Source organism: Homo sapiens, chromosome 9 (assembly GCF_000001405.40).
Source record: "Homo sapiens chromosome 9, GRCh38.p14 Primary Assembly".
NCBI lineage: Eukaryota > Metazoa > Chordata > Mammalia > Primates > Hominidae > Homo > Homo sapiens.
Window position 1 is genome coordinate 42,270,468 of NC_000009.12, and position 23,331 is coordinate 42,293,798.

Below are 23,331 nucleotides of genomic sequence, written 5' to 3' on the forward strand. Positions count from 1 at the left end.
CTGCAATCTCATAAAGAAGAGGAAACAACTTCACTTTGCCAACTGAGGAAATAATGGTTCAGGTATTAAGTTCCCACCAAATTCACATTTACAACTGCCACATTTTATAGAATTGCATATTTTAGATTTTTGGTGCCATCCTGATGTTTATCAATACAGAAGGTTGGCAAAGAATAATGTTTCAATGCACTAAAAAAAGAGAATCTGATATGGTTTGAATGAATGGGGTTAAGGTCACTATATCTTATGAATGAACCCAATGATAGTCTCCATAGTTAGATAGTATTGGATAATTTATTATTTTAAAAAGTATGCGGCCAGGTGCAGTGGCTCAAGCCTGTAATCCCAGCACTTTGGGAGGCCGAGGTGGGCGGATCACAAGGTCAGGAGATCGAGACCATCCTGGCTAACACAGTGAAACCCCGTCTCTACTAAAAATACAAAAAATTAGCCGGGCGTGGTGGCGGGCGTCTGTAGTCCCAGCTACTTGGTAGGCTGAGGCAGGAGAATGGCGTGAACCCAGTAGGCGGAGGTTGCAGTGAGCCGAGATCACACCACTGCACTCCAGCCTGGCAACAGAGCTAGACTCCGTCTAAAAAAAAAAAAAAAATCCTTAAAGATAGTACCATCCTGGCTGGGCACGGTGGCTCACGCCAGTAATTCCAGCACTTTGTGAGGTCAAGGCAGGCTGATCACGAGGTCAAGAGATCGAGACCATCCTGGATAACGCGGTGAAACCCCGTCTCTACTAAAAATACAAAAAAAAAAATTAGCCGGGCGTGGTGGTGGGCGTCTGTAGTCCCAGCTACTCAGGAGGCTGAGGCAGGAGAATGGCGAGAACCCGGGAGGCGGAGCTTGCAGTGAGCCTAGATTGCGCCACTGCACTCCAGCCTGGGTGACAGAGTGAGACTCCGTCTCAAAAAAAAAAAGATGGTACCATCCTAGGTCATGAGAAGTTCCAAGTACGTCCATGGCATGGGTGCTGAAAAGGAGCAACAGTGAAGATCATTTACACATGAAGGAATTGCAAGTTCCTAGCACTTAAGTGTCATCTACAAGGAAATTGAAGATTGAGGAATTGAGAAGATGGTGATGGATGTAAGAAAATGACCCATTTGGAAGATGACACTTGCTAGAAATGGTAGAGGTTGCTGTAATCAGCTGATATTTGTCTAAAAGGATAAGTGAGATTGTCATTTTGTTTGCTTGCTTGCTTTTTTTTTTTTTTTTTTTTTTGAGACTGAGTCTTGCTGCATCGCCCAGGCTGGAGTGCAGTGGCCCGATCTCGGCTCACTGCAAGCTCCGCCTCCCAGGTTCACGCCATTCTCCTGCATCAGCCTCCTGAGTAGCTGGGACTACAGGCGCCCGCCACCAAGCCTGGCTAATTTTTTTTTTTGTATTTTTAGTAGAGACGGGGTTTCACCGTGTTAGCCAGGATGGTCTCAATCTCCTGACCTCATGATCCGCCCGCCTCGGCCTCCCAAAGTGCTGGGATTGCAGGCTTGAGCCACGGCGCCTAGCCTACTTGCTGCTTTTTATGAACACCAGTGACCAGGAATTGATGGAAATTTACCAGAAATGTTTCCTGATGCTATGGTAGACAAACTATGGAAGTAATGAGTTCTACAAGGGCATTGAAAATGGTGGTCTAGGCTTCAGTGGAGTTGAGGATGTATAGTCAACCCTTTTTTTGTTGTTTTATTATTTTTTGTGTGTGCCAGGCATTAGCCTGTGCATTTTATGGGCATCATCTTATTTAATCTTCACAATGGATACCTTCATTTTACAGTGGAAGATACTGAAGTTCAGAGACATTAAGTGACTTGTTAAGGTTTGTGACTGGTAAATGGTGGAGTCTGCATTAGAAATCCAGACTGTTGCTTCCAAGCCATACTCTCAAACGCTATGCTATACAAGGGCATTCTGTGATGATGTTGAGATAGTCCTTTTTGAAAATGTAATGAGTTCCCAGAGGGCACAGAAGGAAAGAGCTGGAAGGCAGGACCACAGTGAAAGGGTGAGCTAGAAGAATAGAGGTGCTTAGAGTAGAAGAAAAGACAGACTTACTGAGGGGTTTGGGACTTGACAGAGCACCCAAAAATGGCAGAGCAGAGAAATATGGGGGAGGATTATGGGCCTTGAGGTTCAGAGTGGACCCTTGCAGGGATGGGGCTTCAGTCTCCACCCCTGCTCACGCCCTTGCTTCCTGGAAACCTATCACGGGTTTTGCTCAGGTTACCCCAGGACTCCAGAAGTTTTATGCTTCTTGGAGTCTGTCTTCTGAGTAGGAGTGGGAATGTAGATGTGGCAAAGCTGTTCTCACTCCAGTTTGGATGCCAGGTGGTAAGAAGTTTAATTTTTCTGCAAAGTTTATACCCTTGATTTATGAAGGGGTATTGACGTTTCTCAAACTAAGGAACCCAAACCTTTTTTACGTGGTGTAAGGACATTACATGCTGAAAATTTGATTTTTACTTTGGTTCCACTATTAATTTGCTGGGTGACTTTTGGCAGGTCACAGCTTCTTTGAGTACCTGGTTTCCTTTTCGTAAGCTCAGAAATTCAGCTGCGTGACCTTTAAGATTTCATATGCTCGCCAGGCACAGTGGCTCATGCCTGTAATCCCAGCACTTTGGGAGGCCGAGGTGGGCGGATCACGAGGTCAGGAGATCGAGACCATCCTGGCTAACATGGTGAAACCCCGTCTCTACTAAAAATACAAAAAATTAGCTGGGCGTGGTGGCTGGCACCTGTAGTCCCAGCTACTCAGGAGGCAGGAGAATGGCATGAACCCAGGAGGCAGAGCTTGCAGTGAGTCAGGATTGTGCCACTGCACTCCAGCCTGGGTGACAGAGCAAGACTCTGTCTCAAAAACAAACAAACAAACAAACAAACAGAAGATGTAGTATGCTCTGAAGTTTTGCTGACATGGAATTTCTTCCCTCACAACCCATACCCCAGCCCTAAGCATCATTGTTCCTGTTCTGTACCACTGCATAGAACAAGCTGCCTCCTAATTTAGTGAATGAACACACTGCATTGATTTCATGGCAGGGGATGGTGATGTTGATTACTCCAGATTAGTTCTCACTTGTGGCACCTCAGATGGCAGACAAGGCTGAAGCTGTCAGAAAGCTTCTGCACCTCTATACCTGGCACCTGGAATGCTATGGATTGAAGAGCTAGGAGCTGGTCAGGTAACTTGGTCTCCACACAGCCTCTCCATGTGACAAGCTTGAGGTTCCTCACAGTATGACAGTCTTGGGCTAGTCAGAGTTTTTGTAGAGAGCTTGGCTTTCCCCAGATTCCCCTGCATTCCACGAGACCCAGGCAAAAGCTAAAAAGCTTCTTATGTCCTAATCTTGGAATCTGCAAATGCAGATTCATGGGGGTACAGAAATAGATACCACCTCTCAGTGGGCGAATGACCTGATGGAAAAGAAGGGAAGAAAGGAGCGGCCACTTTGCAGGCAAGCTCATAGTCATTCTGTCTTAATAAACCTCATCCCAGGTTGCTAATTCCAAACAAATTTCCCAGACCTAAACATACAAAGAGGAAGAAGGAGAAAGCAATTTACCATTCAGAAATAGACTGAAATTAACATGAATACTTACATCTTCATTTTATTCCATGCCCGAAGGTAGAATAATTTAATAATGTTAATTTTTTCTAGTCATGACTTGCTGAGCCAATTAATTTTTTTCATTTATTTTCTCATTTATTCTTTCTTCAGAGTTTGAATTGGCTTTGTTTTCTGCTTTTTCATATCTTGATTTTAGCCACATTCAATCCAATTACAATTTTCTTTCAGTTTTTACTTTCTTTTTATTGTCAACACTTTGCTTCTTTGTATATTGAATTTCCACCCTTAACGCAAGGATGTCTAGTCAGTAGCTGCTGGAGGTGTAACTACTGATTTATTTTTTCTTCTGTATGGAGCAAGTGTCAAGCCAGTGTAGTAGTCGGTCTCCTAAGAAACTTTATTATCTCTTTCAGCTTCACTGGCTGTATTCGCTGGGAAGCAGTTTAACGACACTGGCTGATCTTAACAGGTTGCTATAACCACTTGAAGGCACAATAAATGTGGGAGGAAAATGTTCTTTTTCTTTTCTTTTGGTGGAAAAATAGATGTATAATTTTCTAGCTTTCTTTTCTCCATTTGGGTTAATGATATGAAGAAGATTTCTGCTAGTTTAAGTGTAATTAAAAGAGAGAGATTGGTAACCTCTGGATAACGGTGGGCATTTTGAGGATTGCACTGTGTAGAGCTGATGATGAAAGAGCTTCTCTAGCTAGTATGTGCTCAAACACACAGTGACAAGAACTAGAATGACAAAATCCAGGCTGTATGCTTCTGAATGGTATGGATGACGAGTGGATTTTTCACCACCTGGTATGAACATGGGATGTTAGGTGGAGACAGACAGCGGATACCTTTGGGTATCTGGGAAACTTATACCTCCTGCTGTGATAGTGCTGAAGCCCTCAGGCCTTTTGTGTTATAGAATTGGGATTTGTGGTAGGCAGGATTCTAAAGATGGCGCTCCCAAGGCGATATCCCATCCACCTGGCATACAAACACTGCCTAACCCCGGGAACCATGAATATAATGTGTTTGACTCCTGTAATTAGGTCATTTGTATGGCACAATTGTCCCTAAGATAGGGATATTATTTGAATGCATTGACTTAATCAGAGGTGCACCTGACTTAATCAGAGCTTTGAAGAAGTCAGAGAGGTGAGAAGCCTGAGAGAGTTGAAGATGCGAGAGTTTCTCTGCTGCTGAGATGACAGGCCGCGTGGGGAGGCCTTGAGAGGAATCTCTGGAAGCTGAGAGGGGTCCGCAGCTGGCAGCTAGGAAGATGGTGCGTACTGAGTTATACAATCACAAGGAAACAAATTCTGCTGATAACCTGAGGGGTCTTGGAAGCAGCTCTTTCCCTGGCCGAGCCTCCAAGATGAGAATGTATCCAGGCAACATCTTGAATCCAACCTCACGAGACCCCAGGCAGACTCCCACGGATCGGGAGACATATGACATAATAAATGCACATCATTTTAAGCCAGTGAGTCTGTGGCAAAATTTGCAGCAACAGAAAATAAACACAGCAACCACCTCATTTATGAAAATGCACCTTAGAATTTAATTTTCATAATTTCATAGAGATTCTGTGAATGTTTTTGTATTATGAAAGTAATTCAGCTGTTCTCACTCCAGTTTGGAGACTTTAGGGGAGAATTCCTATACTGTAACTTATGTTTCAAAATATTCTGATGGGCACGTTTGAGCTCTGTAAGTTCTTCCTGCCTTATTTCCAGCTGTGTTTCACAGTGATTGCACAGACTTCGGTCCCTGCAGGATTGGCCTTACTATTGCAGAAAGAAAAACACCAGATTCAAAAACTGTCACATGACAATGATGACAAGGTGCATCATTGTCGAGATGCAATGTGGTCAGGAGTCTGAGGTATAAAAAGGATCCATTCATTTACTCTTTATAATTGGAGATTCTTCTACAAAATGGTTCAGTTTTCTCCCACTGATGAGTGGTGTCTGTTTCTCTGGAGAGTGCTTGGAGAAAGGCAATGTGGAGTACTGTGGAATATTGATGGATGTTGTACCTTTATAGCTAAAGCAACCTTCCCTCATGCCACCAGCATCAGGCAGTTCATATCATAGGACCAAGCACAAAACTTATTTTTTCTTCATGTTTTCTCCCAACACCGAGGCTTTTTCTTCTGCTCTGCTCCTCTGTCACCTAGCTCTGCAACTTCCCCAACTTCTTGCACCCTCTTAGTCCCTGTTCTCTCTATGACCCTGCCTCATCGCTTCTCCACAATAACTTCCTCATACAATTTTCATGAGGGTCACCTAGAAGAGTGACAGGTACCCAAAGCATATACTTTATGCTGAGCATTTGATGTCATCCAATGTCCTTTCCAAAAGGAACCATTTCTGCTAGGTTGGTATTCTCCAAAGCCCAAAAGTCCTTAGAAGTGCTCCATAGTGCCTGGGCATGGTGGCTCATGCCTGTAATTGCAGCACTTTGGGAGGCCGAGGTGGGCAGATCACCTGAGGTCAGGAGTTCAAGACCAGCCTGGCCAACACAGTGAAACCCCATCTCTGCTAAAAGTATGAAAATTGGCCAGGCGCGATGGCTCACGCCTGTAATCCCAGCACTATGGGAGGCCGAGGCAGGTGGATCGTGAGGTCAGGAGATTGAGACCATCCTGGCTAACATGGTGAAACCCCGTCTCTACTAAAAATACAAAAAAGAATTAGCCGGGCTTGGTGACAGGCATCTGTAGTCCCAGCTACTCGGGAGGCTGAGGCAGGAGAATGGTGTGAACCGGAGAGGCAGAGCTTGCAGAGACCCGAGATCACGCCACTGCACTCCAGCCTGGGCGACAGAGCAAGACTCCGTCTCAAAAAAACAAACAAATAAAAAAAAAAACAAATGAAAATTAGCTGGGTGTGGTGGCATATGCCTGTAATCCCAGCTACTCAGGAGGCTGAGGCACGAGAATCGCTTGAACCCAGGAGGTGGAGGTTGCAGTGAGCTGAGGTTGCACCACTGCACTGCAGCCTGGGTGACAGAGCAAAACTCAACAGCAACAAAAAAAGAAGTGCTCCATAGTGTCCATAGTAGCGCCTGAAGTGAGTTGCGAAGACTGAGCTCTTATGGAGCAGCCTCTCAGGCCCTCAGGCCCCATGAGCCCAAATCTCTTTCTGGGAGATTCGAAGAGATGCACAGGTCGCTCCACCAGGTAATGGGGCAGGTCCAATAAACTGTAACCTCATGCAACCAGCAATGCCTGAGAAGTGGGTTCTGAAAGGGCTCAGCAATCTCATGTAGCCTCTCCAGGACTCTCTCACCTTCCTTCACAGTAAGTCCTTTGTGAGTCAGGCTCATATAAGGAGAATGTGACTTTCCTTACCTCAGCTCTTCACACCTATGGACATCTTTAATTGTTACTGCAAATTGACCACAACTTTGTTGTAACTGTAGCAATTTGCAAAAGAAGTGTATGTGTGTTGGGTGATGGATGGGTGATGGGCACCTGGTTTTGCTCCAGGAAATAAAATAATTTGCAATTTCAGGTCTTTAAAGAATGTTGAGTCTATGATAGTCCGACTGACGCACAGACGTTAGCCCAGAAAGACTGTGGCAGACCTCTGATTTACAGAGCTGTAAGATGGAGTGTTTCCTGGCCTCCTTCGCCACACGTTCTTTCCTCCCTTTTCTGAACTTCCCAGCATGAGGTTTGCCTACATGCCTGTGTCAGGCACTGAGTTGTGACAGTCCTGAAAGTGAGGTCCCTGTCTCTCTATGCCTAGCATGCTATCTCACCAAAGTCAGTCTTTCGAAAGTATGTGAGGATTTATTGCATTCCAGTTAAAAGCAGCTGCCCCATTATATGAAATCTTTTTAATTTATTCTTTGTTTGTTTGTTTGTTTGTTTATTGAGACAGAGTCTCACTGTGTTGCCCAGGCTGGAGTGCAGTGGCACATTCTCGGCTCACTGCAACTTCCGCCTCCCAGGTTCAAGCGATTCACCTGCTTTGGTCTCCCAAGTAGCTGAGACTACAGGCGTGCCCCACTATGCCCGGCTAATTTTTTGTATTTTTAGTAGAGATGGGGTGTTACAATGTTGGCCAGGATGGTCTCAAAATCCTGACCTCAGGTGATCCGCCCACCTCAGCCTCCCAAAGTGCTGGGATCACAGGCGTGAGCCACTGAGCCGGGCCCCATTATACCAAATCTTAAAACAGATAGTTCCCTGTGTATAGAGCATATTGCAGCTATGCTCAGGGGAGATGATATTCCTAGCACTAAATTACCTGTTTTGAACTATTGAGTAAATGTAGCCTCAACCGTGCAATGCTAAAAGACAAACACTATTTTTTATTTCTTGCAAAATAATATTTTATTCACAAAATATCCATTATAAGGCTGAAGAGTTCAATGATATCCATATGGTGAAATATGTAAACAAACAAATCTTTATAGTTGCTAAGAGGTTAGCGATGCATTTACGTGCTCTTCCAGCCTGTTGGCATTTAACCTGCATTAATCACTTTTGAATAATTGATACTGTGATCTCCCATTGTTCATTCAACTTAATAAGGTGAAACTTTAAAAACCACACTGATTAAGATCTTCCAACTTGAAAACCTCTATTCTTTTCTCTATCTTAGTTTCCTAAGAATGTGAGCTACTAGTTTTTAAAGAAATATAGTCCTAGACAGAAATAGAATAGAGATTGCACACATTCATAAATTTGTCTGACTCCTAACGAGAGTACCTTGTCAAGGGTAATATGGCTTATGTGTTAGAAATATAATTTAAAATTAATAAAATACCAATTTTATCACATTATGGTAATGTTTACTGCTTTCCTGAAGTGTTTGAGATTTTCCTGTAGAATGTACTTGGAGCATGTACAGTTATACAATGAAAGTAATAAACTATTAAATCAAAAAATATTTTAGAAACACTCAGTATATGAACCTCTTGCTCTAGCGTAATCTATGTATATGTTTTACATCCGGTGTTAGAACATAGGCATTTTTCTTACAGAAATTCTCAAATAAGGACAAAACATCCCCCTAATATGTAGTAGAATGTTTACTGCGGCACTGTTTGTAATAATAATTTCTAAAAACCTGACAACTCTCTAGAATGTTATCAGTGAGGGATAGAAAAATCATTCTGAATCCTTGCTATCTAGCAGGGTGCAGCTGTGAGAAAGTAGGAGAGAAACCTAGCTACGGCGTGACACGGAGAGATCACCAAGACAGAAATGACATGAGAGAAGAAAGGAAGTCAGATAATAATGCATAAAGTAATATTCCATTGATGCTAGAATGCAGCCAGACAACACAGGTGTGTTTAGAGAAATTTATTAGCTAAACTTAGACATTGTTTGAAACTTTTATAAAAATGCATTTGTGGTCTACAAATATGTACATTAATAAAAATAAAACAGCACTTATTGTGCATGCACACTCAGTGCATCTCTCTGAAGTGAGAACTCATAATTTTCCAGATGAGGAAACTCAGGCACAATGAGGTTAAGGGGTTTCACCCAGAGCCCACGTTCAGTGAGCAGGGAGCTTTGTAAGGCTCTGGAGCCTTTGTTCTTAATTATCGTTGCTGTATTATGCTTTGAGTAATGAAAACAAATCAACTCAGGAGTTTTAACCAAAAACATCTGTTAAAGAAAACGAGGAGGCCGGGCACGGTGGCTCACACCAGTAATCCCAACGCTTTGGGAGGCCGAGGCGGACAGATCACAAGGTCGGGAGACTGAGACCATCCTGGCTAACACGGTGAAACCCCGTCTGTACTAAAAATACAAAAAAAAAAAAATTAGCCAGGTGTGGTGGCACACACCTGTAGCCCCAGCTACTCGGGAGGCCAAGGCAGGAGAATCGCTTGAACCCGGGAGGTGGAGGTTGCAGTGAGCCAAGATCACGCCACTGCACTCCAGCCTGGGTGACAGAGCAAGACTCCGTCTCAGCGGGGAAAGAAAAGAGATTGGATCAGGTGAGGTCTAAGATCTCTTGAGCAATTACATCTTACAGGAGTGTGAGCTTTGGGGTCAGCTGGCTTTGGGTGAGACTCCAGTTTTGATGCTGACACTTGACTGTGGGCGGTTAACTAAGTCCCACTGAGCTGGTTTCGAACCCGTAAAATGTAAAGTGTAGGCACTGCTTTATGGGGTTACTGTAGCGAGAGGGGCTGGTCCTGAGGCAACCTGGGGATAGTTCCTAGCAAGTGCTCAGGAATAATATCACTTTCCCCCATGACTCCAAAATCCCAGGATCTTTAGTCTTACCTGAATATGTATGGAGTAAAACATATTCCCAAGTTATGAGATCTCTCTGGAGCTCAGTCTTTCATATCAAACTGCTAACCAGACACCTCCACTTGCATGAGCCACGGACCATTAATACTCAGTCTATTTGTTTGTTTGTTTGAGACGGAATCACCCAGGCTGGAGTGCAGTGACACAATCTTGGCTCACTGCAACCTTTGCAACTTCTGTCTCCTGGGTTCTAGCGATTCTCCTGCCTCAGCCTCAGAGTAGCTGGGATTACAGGTGAGCTGCCTCCGTGCTTGGCTAATTTTTGTATTTTTAGTAGAGACGGGGTTTCACCATATTGGCCAGGCTGGTCTCGAACTCCTGACGTCAGGTGATCTACCCCCACCCTCGGCCTCCCAAAGTGCCCGGATTACAGGCGTGCAATACTCAGTCTATTTGAAACCAGTATTACCTCCTTTGTTCTCGTCCAAAGCTGTCTTATTCTCTAGCGCCCCCTATCTTGACAGCAACATCCTATCAGTTGCTAAAACACATATTCCAGACTGTTGACGCTCAGTGGCACTCTAAGCCCTGTGGATGCCACATTCTTAATACATTTTGAGTGTGCCCACTTTTCTCTGTCTGGATGGCTGGCATCTTGCTTAGGGTGCCATCATCCTTGGCATAAGTTTCTGCATCCTATGTACGCCACCTGCCTCAAGTCCCTTCATGTTGGAATCACACTGCAGTCAGGGGTATCCTTCCAAAATGTACAGCAGATTCTCTGAAAAATAATCTGTCTTGCTCTTAAATGTGCCCCTCAGATACTGTAAGAGCTCCTCCTTGCCTGTGGATTAAATCCCAAATTCTTTATGCCCGAGTTGATCTTCAATGTCATCTCATATTCCATGCCCCTTCCAGACTCGGAAGCAGTTCATGGAGCAGAATATTCAACTATTCAGAAACACTGAATCAATTTTCGCTCTGAACAAGAATGATTTTTCTAGCTTCATGGGCTCTGCCCACACCACCTCAGACACCTGCCACATTCCCTTTACACCCACCTATCATTTCCTTACTACCTGATTCTTTTCATTCTCCAGATCTCAGTAAAGAAGTCGCTTGCTTTCTGTTAATTTTCCTGACATCTCCACATCTCCATCTCATGTTCAAGATAAAGGAGGTTCTCATGTCTTCCCATAATGAACTATCTCGTACTGTCCCCATCATGACAGAGCATGCTGTATTACAAGTTCGATGTGCAAGAAATAGGGCCCAAGTGGTGTTTGCCATTAATCAATGTGGCATATGCAGTGCAGTACTGGGGCAGACTCCTATAAATGACCTTTTAAAAGATGCTAACATGACCTTTCAAAAGATGCAAATCTGACTTTATCACTTTCCTGCAAGACCTTTAAGCAGCTTTGAACCTCTTTGTCTTCGTTTCCTCCAAAGACACCATCCAGCTCCCTGTGCAGCCTCAGGCCTCAGTGACTTAGCCCCCGCCTTTTTTTTTTTTTTTTTTTTTTTTTGTGAGATGGAGTCTCGCTCTGTCACCCAAGCTGGAGTGCAGTGGCGCCATCTCGGCTCACTGCAAGCTCCGCCTCCCGGGTTCACGCCATTCTCCTCCCTCAGTCTCCCGAGTAGCTGGGACTACAGGCGCCCACCACTACGCCCGGCTAATTTTTTTGTATTTTTAGTAGAGACGGGGTTTCACCACGTTAGCCAGGATGGTCTCGATCTCATGACCTTGTGATCTGCCCGCCTCGGCCTCCCAAAGTGCTAGGATTACAGGCGTGAGCCACCGCACCGGGCCTAGCCCCTGCCTTTCTGACTTCCACTCTCATCCTCCATTCGTCTCTGGTATAAAGTTCTTTCCTGACACAAGGTCTTTGCTTATGTGGTCTCCCCTCCCCCTCTCTGGATTTCTTTCCTGGCAAACTACAAATCATCATTTAGGTCTCAGCTTAAATGCCACTTCCTGAAAAATGACTTTGCTGAGAGCCTCAATTGGGTCTCTCAGTTCTAAAAACCCTGCACGTTCCCATGTCTGTGTGTCCCCCGATGTGCTCTTCCCAATTAGACAGCAGGGTCCCCGAGTGCTGAATTTTCTTCACTGCTATCACGCCAACACCTAACAAAGAACTTGCCCCAAAATCTATTTGTCAAATGGAAGAATAAATCATTAAGGAAAATATCTGATCAGTGATTTGATGATAAAAAATACACTATATAATGAATACCTAGAAGTTTATTATAGTTAAATGGGCCGTCTCTGAGATGGAATAACTTCACTACGATTTATGTGTTTTAGAAACATAATGACATATAATTCACAGATTTAATGACAGTGTCACATCTATACTTCCATTTTATGTGGCATAATATAGAAAGAGCGAGTTTTATTATCCAGATTACATAATAAGGAAACAGTGTTTAAATGCTGATATGGTTTGGCTGTGTCCCCAGTGATTCAAAGACCAAAAGGGCTTAAATAAAAAGAAGACCGAAGGAAGTAAATAGAAAAGAGGAGGGAATTTATGAGAAACCATTTTAAATGGTCCATTTTCAAGGCATGATAAATCAAAAGTACTGGAAGCCAGCCTGCAAATTTAACAAACCGCACTGCTCATGCACCTAGAAGGTCACAGTAAGCAAACAATGAAAAGGAGGGGTTAGCCCATAAAAGGGAAAAAAGTTTCATTATTGGGAAATTGAAACAAGCAAGAAAGAGGACCGGGATATAACCTTATAAGGGGGATAATGAAACTTAGGTGACATCCAGGAAAATTGTAACCCCATAGCACTCAACCAATGAGGAACTTGGGGAGGGACTTGCGTACTGGAAGATAAATTACTTGTTGTGACTGCCCCAGATGTACCTACCTACCAGACACCCAATCTTGCAAGACCATTATTAAGTCTCACTTTCGCTGTTCTTCATGCCTCTAAGTCCATTCTTTGGGTTTGGATGGATGAGTAGATTTCTCACACCCACCCAAATCTCATCTTGAATTTCTACTTGTTGTGGGAGGGACCTGGTGTGAGGTAATTGAATCATGCAGGCAGGTGTTTCCCATGCTATCTGTGTGATAGGAACGGTGTCTCTTGCACACAGATGGTACTGACTTCAACTATGTCAAACAAAAAGTTGTTTGATAGTTACTTAACAGTCATCTCATTTGCTACTATACCTTCAAGAATAAGCCACTGATTCAATTTATCTAAAATTATGATGTTAAAATAATTTTTGAAGTTTGTTTTTACATATATCTGATTATCTACCTACCTATATTTTATTTTACCAAGTTAATTGCTTTTAACTTCAGTGTTCTTAAAATCACTCTGCCTCCTTTGCATTATGGTATAAAAATAGAACAATCTTTTTCCTATTGATTTCTAAATGCTTGATGTCTCCTCTCCTTCTCTTTAAAACCCAATCTGATAGTGTGGATTTAACATGCCTACCTTCAACATTTTGTTATTTGTATTAAGTTATTTCACAGTATTATTTTTTAAATTATATGCCTTATAAGTCAGGTTTGGACTTTTACTCCTGGTTGGGAATTCTTAAATAAAATAAAAAGTGATTAGTTGTCAAAGTTTACTTCAAGCATAGCTAAGAAAATTTGGCCCATAGTTCTTTCCTCTTGTTGCTATAAGATCTGTGCTTTATCTATCAAGAAGAAGCATTTCTCATTTTCAACCTACAAGTCATGATTAAGGAATTAATAGAAGAACACGCAATGTCCTTGTTCAACAGGAATTATCAGGGTTAAGTCAAATTCTTATAACTCAGCGGTTAATTACTCAATTTTTGCATTTTGTTATATAAATTTTTACCCGGTCTACTTTGCAAGTAGTTTCAAATAACTACTTGCAAAGTAGTCACTAGCTGTTATCAGTCTATTCATGATTTGCCATGGTAATTTCTTCCTATCACTCATCTCTTCTGCATTGCTGAGTAAAGGAAACAATGATCAACTTAAAGCATGTGGAAAACAAAATAAATAGAGACTGAGAGAAAAACAGCAAATTTTACTTGTGTATTTAAGATTTTCTTCCTTTCTATGGCTTGATTTTATTTGATGTTTAGAACACAATCTATTTCTAAAATTTGTGGGGACAGTTCCATCTTTTGGTTTCTGTGTTTGCATTTCCACCTCACTTCCTTAAATTAATTTTCTTCCATAATATTTCATGTTAACATATATCTAGGTTTTGTGATCACACACAAACACACACAAAGACACACACAGCTCTTCTTGAAGTTTGTACACCATTTACACCATTTTTCTGGACTGTCGAGACTATTATGATTGTTTACATTGAGGGATGAATTTTTGAAGACATATGAATTGAAACAAAGGTCAGTGGACCAATTCAGTGTATTGCAAAGTTGTTTATTATAATGAGATTATTATCAGGGCTTTAAGCCTTTTAGGCCATGAGGAACAATTAATGGCACTCCAAATTTACATTGAGTAAATTAATATTTGTAATACTTTATATATCTTTTGCCCCCCTCAAAATAAAATAATATAGTATTAAATCAACTCAAGAGAAAATTTTAGGAAACAACTTGTTTATAGTAGACAGAATTATAAGATACCTCCTCCCACTGCCCATGGCCAATATTTTTTACCCTATTGTATACACACCTACTCCCAGTTTTTCAAACACTGATATAGATACTGCTGTGGAGAGATTTTGCAGATGTAATTAAGGTCCTGATTCATTGATAAGGAGATTATCTGGATGGACCCTAACATGGGGAGATTTTTCTAATCATATGAGTCCTTACAAAGCAGAAAATTTTCTCCAGCTGATGTCAAAAAAGGAAGTCAGAGATTCAAAACACAAGAAGAATTTGACATGCTATTGCAGTTTTGAAGGAATACAGTATCCTCTAGGATGTGACAGTGGCCTCAGTGGACAGCCAGTGAGCAAACAGGATCCCAGTCCTACAACCACAAGGAATTGGATTCTCTCAATTGTGCTGATAAGCTGGAAGCAGATTCTTCCTTGCTCAGTCCTCCAGATGAAAACAGCCCACAGCAGTTTGATTTCAGATTTGTGAGATGATGAGCAGAGAACCCAAGCAAGCGACACCAGATTTCTTTTTTTTTTCTTTCTTTCTTTTTTTTTTTTTTTGAGACAGAGTTTCACTCTTGTTGCCCAGGCTGGAGTGCAATGGCACGATCTCAGCTCACTGCAACCTCCGCCTCCTGGGTTCATGCAATTCTCCTACCTCAGCCTCCCAAGTACCTGGGATTACAGGCACCCGCCACCACGCCCAGCTGATTTTTGTATTTTTAGTAGAGATAGGGTTTCACCACTTTGGCCAGGCTGGTCTTGAACTCCTGACCTCAGGAGATCCACCCGCCTTGGCCTCCCAAATTGCTAGGATTACAGGTGTGAGCCACTGCAACTGGCCTCACCACACCAGATTTCTATCCTACAAAACTATGAATTTATAAATGGCTTAGTTGGAACCTGCTAAATTTGTAGTAATTGGCAGTACAGCAACAGAAAACAAAGACAGATTTTATAATTGAGACTAGGAGTGGCTTCATAATTAGGCAGTGGAAGAAAGACAGAAGAAAATGAGGAATATGACTCAGAAACCCTAAGTTACCTCAGACAACACCTAAATTGTTGTGCCCAGGCAACTAAAACTGTGAGATAATAGATTCGTATTATTTTAAGCAGCAGAATTTGTGGTAATTCATTATGCAGCAACAGAAAATGAAGACAGCGCCTATAATATGTGAGACTAATACTTCATTGTAACATGAAGCATTTCATGCTACAAAGTACTCAGATGCTGGACAAATTATGGCATATAAATCTTAAAAGATATTGATGAGCTTCCAATCCAGTAATTATAAGCTCCACCCACCTACTCACTCTAGGGACTTGATATGGTTTGGCTGTGTCCCCACCGAAATCTCATCTTGAATTCCCATATTTTGTGGGAGAGACCTGGTGGGAGGTAATTGAATCATGGGGGCAAATCTTTCCCAGGCTGTTATCGTGATAGTGAATAAGTCTTACACTATCTGATGGTTTTAAAAAGAGGAGTTCCTCATGGACACAGGGAGGGGAACATCACACACCAGGGCCTGTCGTGGTTGGGGGAAAGGGGAGGGAGAGCATTAGAATAAATACCTAATGCATGCAGGGCTTAAAAACCTAGATGACAGGTTGATAGGTGAAGCAAAACATCATGAGACATGTATACCTATGTAACGAAACTCCATGTTCTGCACATGTATCCCAGAACTTAAAATAAAAAAAAATAAATACATACATACACATATATGCACAACAAAAATTAAAATAAAGCACAAGCTCTCTGTCTTTTTGCCTGCTGCCATCCACGTAAGACGTGACTTGCTCCTCCTTGCCTTCTGCCAGGGTTGCAAGGCTTTCCCAGCCACATGAAACTGTTAAGTCCAATAAACCTTTCTTTTGTAAATTGCCCAGTCTTGGGTATGTCTTTATAAGCAGCGTGAAAACAGACTAATACAGTAAATTGGTACCAGTAGAGTGGAGTGCTGCTGAAAAGACACCCAAAAATGCAGAAGCAATTTTGGAACTGGGTAAAAGGCAGAGGTTGGAACAGTTTAGAGGGCTCAGAAGAAGACAGGAAAATGTGGGAAAGTTTGAAACTTCCCAGAGATTTGTTGAATGGCTTTGACAAAAAAAGCTGATAGTGATATGAACAATAAGGGCCAGGCTGAGGTGGTCTCAGATGGAGATGAGCAACTTGTTGGGAACTGGAGCAAAAGTGACTCTTGTTATGTTTTAGCAAAGAGACTGGCAGCATTTTGCCCCTGCCCTAGAGATTTGTGGAACTTTGAACTTGAGAGAGATGATTTAGGTTATCTGACAGAAGAAATTTCTTTTTTTTTTTCCTGTTAAAAGAAGTGTTTTGTCTCGTTTTAATATCTTATCAGCTTTACAGGGTTACAATCGTCTTAAATATTTCTGAAGTTAAAATACAATCTGCATAATAATGCTATTATAAAATGTAAACTTTCAGTGTTCTTTTAAATTTCAAAATCACACCTTTTTTCTGGTCTTTTTGTCTTTTTTTATTTTTTTTCCTTTCAATACCTGGATGTTCTGCAAAACTGAAATTGTTACAGGCCACCCTGCTGCGGCCAGGGCAAGAAAGGCTGGGCCCAGCCAGAGGTAGAGAGTAGTTTTATGATTCTTTTATTTTTTATTTTTTTAAAGTCTATTATTTTTTTTCTCCCATTACCTAACTTTCAGGCGTGGTCCCCGCGTCCTCTGACAAACCCCAGAGAAACTGAAATGTCACACGTCATGAATGAAAGGCTGAGTTTACGTTTGCCAAGAAAAAAAAAATGCAAGAGCACAATTAGGGGAAAAGAGGGACAAAGTGGGTAAAAAAAAAAAAAGATAAAGGAAATTCAGACTGTACAGATGCGTGACCCTTAACGACCCCGGCTCTCCCCAGTGCCCCATGCCCATCCTCCCGCCTGTCCTGACGGCCACTTAAGGGTCCCACTGAAGGTTCCAGAAGCTGCCTGTCCCCCAACATCTCACAGCAGGGAGAGCCCCCCCTTGGCCTCGAGTGTGGGGTCCCCGCCCAGTACACAGCTAGCCCCACGGCCCCAAGAGAACTCGAACCCGTCCAGGGTCCTCGTGGCTGAGGGAGGTGCCCGACCCCATCCCAGTCTGCATAAGAGGGGATGCTGAGCTGCACCCCAGAAAGCCACCCCAACTTTAAACCCCCACCGACAGGCAGTGGCGGGAGGTGCGTACGGCTGGGGTTGAATGGGGCCACCTGAGGCAGGGAGTACCCTCTGGAGACCACGGCTTCCTGCCCAGTATCCAGGACCGGGCCCCACAGACCCCCTGCGACCCCCTCCCATTTCCACGACCACTGCCTTCAGTGATTTCCTTCTCCTGGAGTCGCCAGGCCGCCCAGGACCCAGCCCCGTGCCCACCCACCGCCCGCCCCACCTGTCCCTACAATCATCGAAGTTAACAGCAGGCCCAAGTCCCCTGAGTTAGAATCCAGTCCCACCCACAGCCAGGGGGCCGGATCGCCCACACAGGCACGACACGCAGGATTCCCGACACACACACGTGCACACGGGAGCGCAACACACGCAGCCCGAGAGAGACGACCCAGCCCACGGCCCTGCGCAGCCCCTCCCCAGACACCAAGGCGGGCGGGTGCAAAGGGGCCCATGGCCGCCTCCAGGGCCGCCAGATGCAGCAGGCAGCCTGGCCCCAGTGGCTGCTGCAGACCCTGGTGCACGGGAGGCGGGGGAGAGGCACCCCAGGGGCTTAGATTTTGGCATCAAAAGTCAGACCTGAGGTAGACAGAGATAAGCAGCAGGCGCTTCCCCCAGCGCGGGACCCAGGCGCGGGACGGCGGCTCTGGGGAGAGGAGCCCTGGGGGCCGGAGGGCAGACACGGACAGGGTCCAGGCGGTTCTGCGAGTGGGGCCCGATTGCGTCTTGGAGCGAAAAGACACCCCCTTCCCGGGGTGATTGTGCTGCTACGGTGCCGGCCCCGGGAAGGGGCAGGGAGAACCTAGCTGCCCACCAACCCCTCCTGGAAAGGGGGTGTGTGTCAATGGCCCTGAGATCAGAAGAAAGTGGGGTCCCGTCCCCAAAGACAAAGGCAAGTGAAAGTCCCCTCCCACAGCCCGACGGGAGAGTGAACCTAGACTCAGGGGCTCAGAAGCCCCCCAGCCCCCTCCCCCAGGGGTCTCCAAGGCTATGCGGAGGTGGGGCGGTTGGGAGTCGGGGGAGTTGGGGAGTCCCCTTCCTCACCGACCCCCAATGCCGGTGGCCTAACAGGGCTCCCAGGGCCCAATTAGAGACCCAGGCTTACCATGGGAATAGCTGAGTTAATCCCCACCCCACCACAAGAGAAATGAAAGCCCGGAGCTCCCGTGTAGGACGCGACAGCCCAGCCGGTCACCAGGCGGGTCCAACAAGGTCCCCAGACCCTGCCGAGCATTTCAGACTCCTGCCTTTCTGCTCCAGCAGCTCCAGCCAAAATAACCCCCAGCTCGGCTGCTGTAAACCCACTTTCTCCTAGCCTGGCAGAGGGGCACTGACCCACAGGGTTGGGGGGCAGCCTCCCTTCTCGGCCTCGATTTAGTCACCGCACAACACAGGGAGCTCGCAGCCCCGGCACAAAAGCGGTCGGGAGAAGAGGAAGAGATAGAAGGAGGAGAATGTTGGGGTGTGGGGTGTGTTCAGTACGCCAGGGCCCCGAAATCCTCACCCTGAGCTAGGTCTGGCTTCACCCCCACTCCCCAGTATTGTTAGTCCCCAAAAGCAGCCCTTTTGGACAAGAGAAGAATCCCAGTGAGAAGGCCACATTCATCCCTGAGACAGGAGCCTGGGGGCTGTGACAAGAACCACCCCCGCCCCCCAGGCCCCAGGCCCTTTTTCCAGCAGTTGCTACTTTTTAGATAAGATTTCCAGGCCGGGCCGGGCGCAGTGGCTCATGACTGTAATCCCAGCACTTTGGGAGGCTGAGGAGGGCGGATCACCTGAGGTCAGGAGTTCGAGACCAGCTTGGCCAACATGATGAAACCCCATCTCTACTAAAAATACAAAAATTAGCTGGGCGTGGTGGCGGGTGCCTGTAATTCCAGCTACTCGGGAGGCTGAGGCAGGAGAGTCGCTTGAACCCAGGAGGTGGAGGTCGCAGTGAGCCAAGATCGGGCCACGGTACTCCAGCCTGGGTGACAAGAGGGAGACTCCATCTCAAAACAAACAAACAAACAAAACAAAACAAAACAAAACAAAAACAGAAAAAAGAAGAGCTAATGAGGAAATTAAAAGAATTGTAAGAATCTATTTAGCTTAGTTATTCAAATTAGTTTGATAATCTTAATAAAGTATATGATTTTCCAAGAAAATATAATTTAACAAAATGAATCCTATAAAAATTAGAAAAGTCTAAATTGACTGACTTCCATGCAAAAGACAAAGAAAAATGTCAGTCCTTCAGAATATTAGGTGGCCACTACTTTCTAAGAGAATTGTATCGCTCCTTTAAAGAGAAGTTAATTCCAGTGCAGTCTATACTGTTCCGAAGAATTGAAAACTGATAAAAGCTTTCTAATTCATTTTATGAAATGAGTACAACATTAAAGCTAAATTACTTTTAAAAGATTAAATACAAAAAATAAAATTACAGTTACAATCTCAGTTAACCATGCAAAAAATTCTAATGAAATAGAAACAGCCGATTAGCAGAATCTGCTTCATGATCACTGCTTTTAGTCTAGAAATGGTTGGATAGTCTTATGTGTTTTTTTTGTTTTTTTGTTTTGTTTTGTTTTGTTTTGTTTTTGTTTTTGAGACAGAGTCTCGCTCTGTCGCCCAAGCTGGAGTGCAGTGGCGCGATCTCCGCTCACTGCAAGCTCCACCTCCCGGGTTCACGCCATTCTCCTGCCTCAGCCTCCCGAGTAGCTGGGACTACAGGAGCCCGCCATCACGCCCGGCTAATTTTTTGTATTTTTAGTAGAGACAGGGTTTCACCATGTTAGCCAGGATGGTCTCGATCTCCTGACCTCGTGATCCGCCCACCTCGGCCTCCCAAAGTGCTGGGATTACAGGCGTGAGCCACCGCGCCCGGCCAGTCTTATGTTAAAATATATGAAATAAGGTTCCATTTTTATTTGCAGTCCATCAAAATCGCAATGGAGAAAAAGCCAAGGCCTTGTCTAAAGGACAAAAGAAATTTTATGATATTGTTCTGTGTCTCAACTACCTGTTTACTCTTTATACAGTAAGGGCAGAAAGGGGTGATACCTTTCCAAAGTTCCCCATCAGAAAGGTCACAACCAGTACTCCTATAACAAAAGGCAGTTTAAAGAAAAGTATAGCAAATCAATTTAATCAAAGTTTTACATATCAGAAGAGCTTTCAAAAATGAAGAACCAAAGACCCAGGGAAATCATCTATTTTTATAGGTAGGCTTCATGAAGAAGGGACAGCCATGTGGAAATGTGATTGGACAAAAAGGAATGATCTCATGGTAATAGGCTGAGAAAGAACCCAGCAAGACCTGTCTTCCTGGCCTCTAAGCTGCATTTATTTCTCCTGCTGTGGGACACACAGTCTTCAAGGGAGAAGGAAAAGAATGACTTTTCTAGGTTTTATGACTTGCTTTGGGGAAGAGGGGCTCTAGTTTCTGTGAGTTGCCTTGGGGAAAAGGAATTCTGGTTTCAGCTTCAGAGTAATGAGAGGGGAGGGAGACAGGAGGGTAGGAGAAGGTCAGCGACCTTGCCCTTGATTCTGAAGCCTCCAATCTCCTTTAGTTCAAAGTATTCAGCAGGCCGAGGTGCCATCTGTTGGAGTATTGTGTTCTGAACCCCAACAACATCACTTCGGAAGACTGAAATGGCAGATGTTATATGCCATGGAGGATAAATATTGCTGTTACAATCTAACAGTAATACTAGCCAAAATGAAAAAGAGAAAAGAACATACCAAAATAATCTAGACTATATCTCAAAGCAAACTTTTTATAATTAGCTAAATTGTAAAAATAGTTCTCATATAAAATAAAACCTTACTGTTCTTATTTAAGATACTCGTAACACAAAGATAACTGTACTGTCATAAATGTGACAATATTGAAGGCCCTGCTCCAATTGTTCTTATGTTATTATGATTAATAATCACTTTTAAAATCACTTATATTTGACATAGAGATTTTTTCTATTGTGCCTAATTGTTCTGTAGTGTATGAGGAGAAACTGTCCAATCAACAGATTATTTAGATGTAATTTGATGCTTACGCATTGTGTACTCGGTAAATGAATTTTTAGAAGTACATTAACAAGATGTGAGAAAACACATTACATTTTCAAAAGAAAACTACACAAAATAGACAAGATTTTTAAAATCATGAAAGTAAATATTTTACATTATATATAATGTGAATGAAATTCATACCCGTAGATTCAAATGTTTGTGACTTTTAAAATCAAATTAAACAAATTGAGAAAATATGTAATGCCATTATATTGACTTAGAACATGTCAGTTGAAAAATAGCTTCCTATTTTATTTGGTTTCTCTGGCATCTATATAAATGTATGTTTAAAGGGCAATTACCTTTCCTTTTCCCTTTTTATTTCTGAAGTATGAAAGACAGTGTGAGATTTTTCTGGGTAATATGAGCTTCTCTGTACATCTTTTTCAGGATGCCACTGATGTTGACAGCTGTTCTTTTAAAATACTGATATTCAACATGACAATGCATGTGACTTGCCAAGGAATTGAGAAGCTGAAAGTACAGTGACATGGTTATGACAGGGCTGCAAAAGACATGACTTGTAATGTCATTTCAAAGCTTTCTCTAAAAATAAGTTGAAAAACACAAAATGAATTTGCCTTTTATTCAGCCAAAATGAGTATCTCTTTACTTCAGGTACCTAGTTTGTATTGGAAGTGGTTTTTGAAGATTCTAAAATGTGTGTGTGTGTGTGGTGTGTGTGTGTGTGTGAGAGAGAGAGACAGAGAGAGACAGAGAGAGAGAGGGAGACTGTGACTCTGCTCAGGGGTTACAAATCATTTACCTTGAGTAGCATATTTTCTTTAGTCTTTGCAACTAGCTGAAGGATATCATAACTTTCCAATATTATCATTTCATAAAAGTTGTCTTTAAATAAACAAAAAGATGGAGTAGACGTTGACCAAATGTTTTGATTATCATATGTTTTTACAAAAGGAAACAAAATGGACATTTATTTGTTTTCATAATGATACGTGTAAGATAGGAGCAGTAAAGAGTAGGGTATGAGACAAACTTCTAGTTGGTATATTTTAGAAAAATGTTAGCTAACAATGGGATTTAACATATTAACCTCTGATACTGAAAGGGAATTCCATTTCTGGTGGTATGTTTTTCCTTAAGTGAATAGGCCAGAGATACCCTCATACTAAAAATGTATGTGTATGTGTAAAGCTTCATATATTTTAAACACCTTATTCAGCATCATATTTATACTTGGAGAGTTTTCACTGTTTTTCTAGGATCTACTGAAGTGTTTAGTTTTGATGAAAGAAAGTCTGTGGGTTTGATCAGAAGCCCATGAGTCCAATCAAAGGTATTATTTATTTGAAATTTAAAAACCATGCAAGCAATTTCAAGCATGTAAATTAACTAGGATTTTAGGACAACCTGTGAGCGGAGAAGCACAGGAAAACTAGGTTATCAGAAATTCATAGGAGATCCTCCTGAGGCAGAAGTAAAATTATAGTGGAGGAGAAATATAAGTCATCATCCCAGATTAATTTGCTTGCAATTTGAAATTATGGAAAGAGGAAAAGTCCATGTGCAAGGATCTTCTTTTCCATGCAATCTAATTTTTAAAAATTGGGATAAAAACAGCATGAGAGCTACCCTCTTAAATTTTTAGGAATACAACACAGTGTTCTTAACTACAGGCACAATGTTGTACATAGCAGATCTCTAGGACTTATTCATCTTGCATACCTGAAGC

General features: G+C 43.1%; 3 annotated features.

Annotated features, from left to right (window-relative positions):
* Positions 209–709: an enhancer, noted in NCBI's record as "H3K4me1 hESC enhancer chr9:43543213-43543713 (GRCh37/hg19 assembly coordinates)". NCBI's record gives its function as "activates a minimal SCP1, AML or CMV promoter by ChIP-STARR-seq in naive H9 embryonic stem cells {active_cell/tissue: H9 hESC(naive)}" and the evidence as "EXISTENCE:reporter gene assay evidence [ECO:0000049][PMID:30033119]".
* Positions 17,610–18,229: an enhancer, noted in NCBI's record as "H3K4me1 hESC enhancer chr9:43525693-43526312 (GRCh37/hg19 assembly coordinates)". NCBI's record gives its function as "activates a minimal SCP1, AML or CMV promoter by ChIP-STARR-seq in naive H9 embryonic stem cells {active_cell/tissue: H9 hESC(naive)}" and the evidence as "EXISTENCE:reporter gene assay evidence [ECO:0000049][PMID:30033119]".
* Positions 18,230–18,849: an enhancer, noted in NCBI's record as "H3K4me1 hESC enhancer chr9:43525073-43525692 (GRCh37/hg19 assembly coordinates)". NCBI's record gives its function as "activates a minimal SCP1, AML or CMV promoter by ChIP-STARR-seq in naive H9 embryonic stem cells {active_cell/tissue: H9 hESC(naive)}" and the evidence as "EXISTENCE:reporter gene assay evidence [ECO:0000049][PMID:30033119]".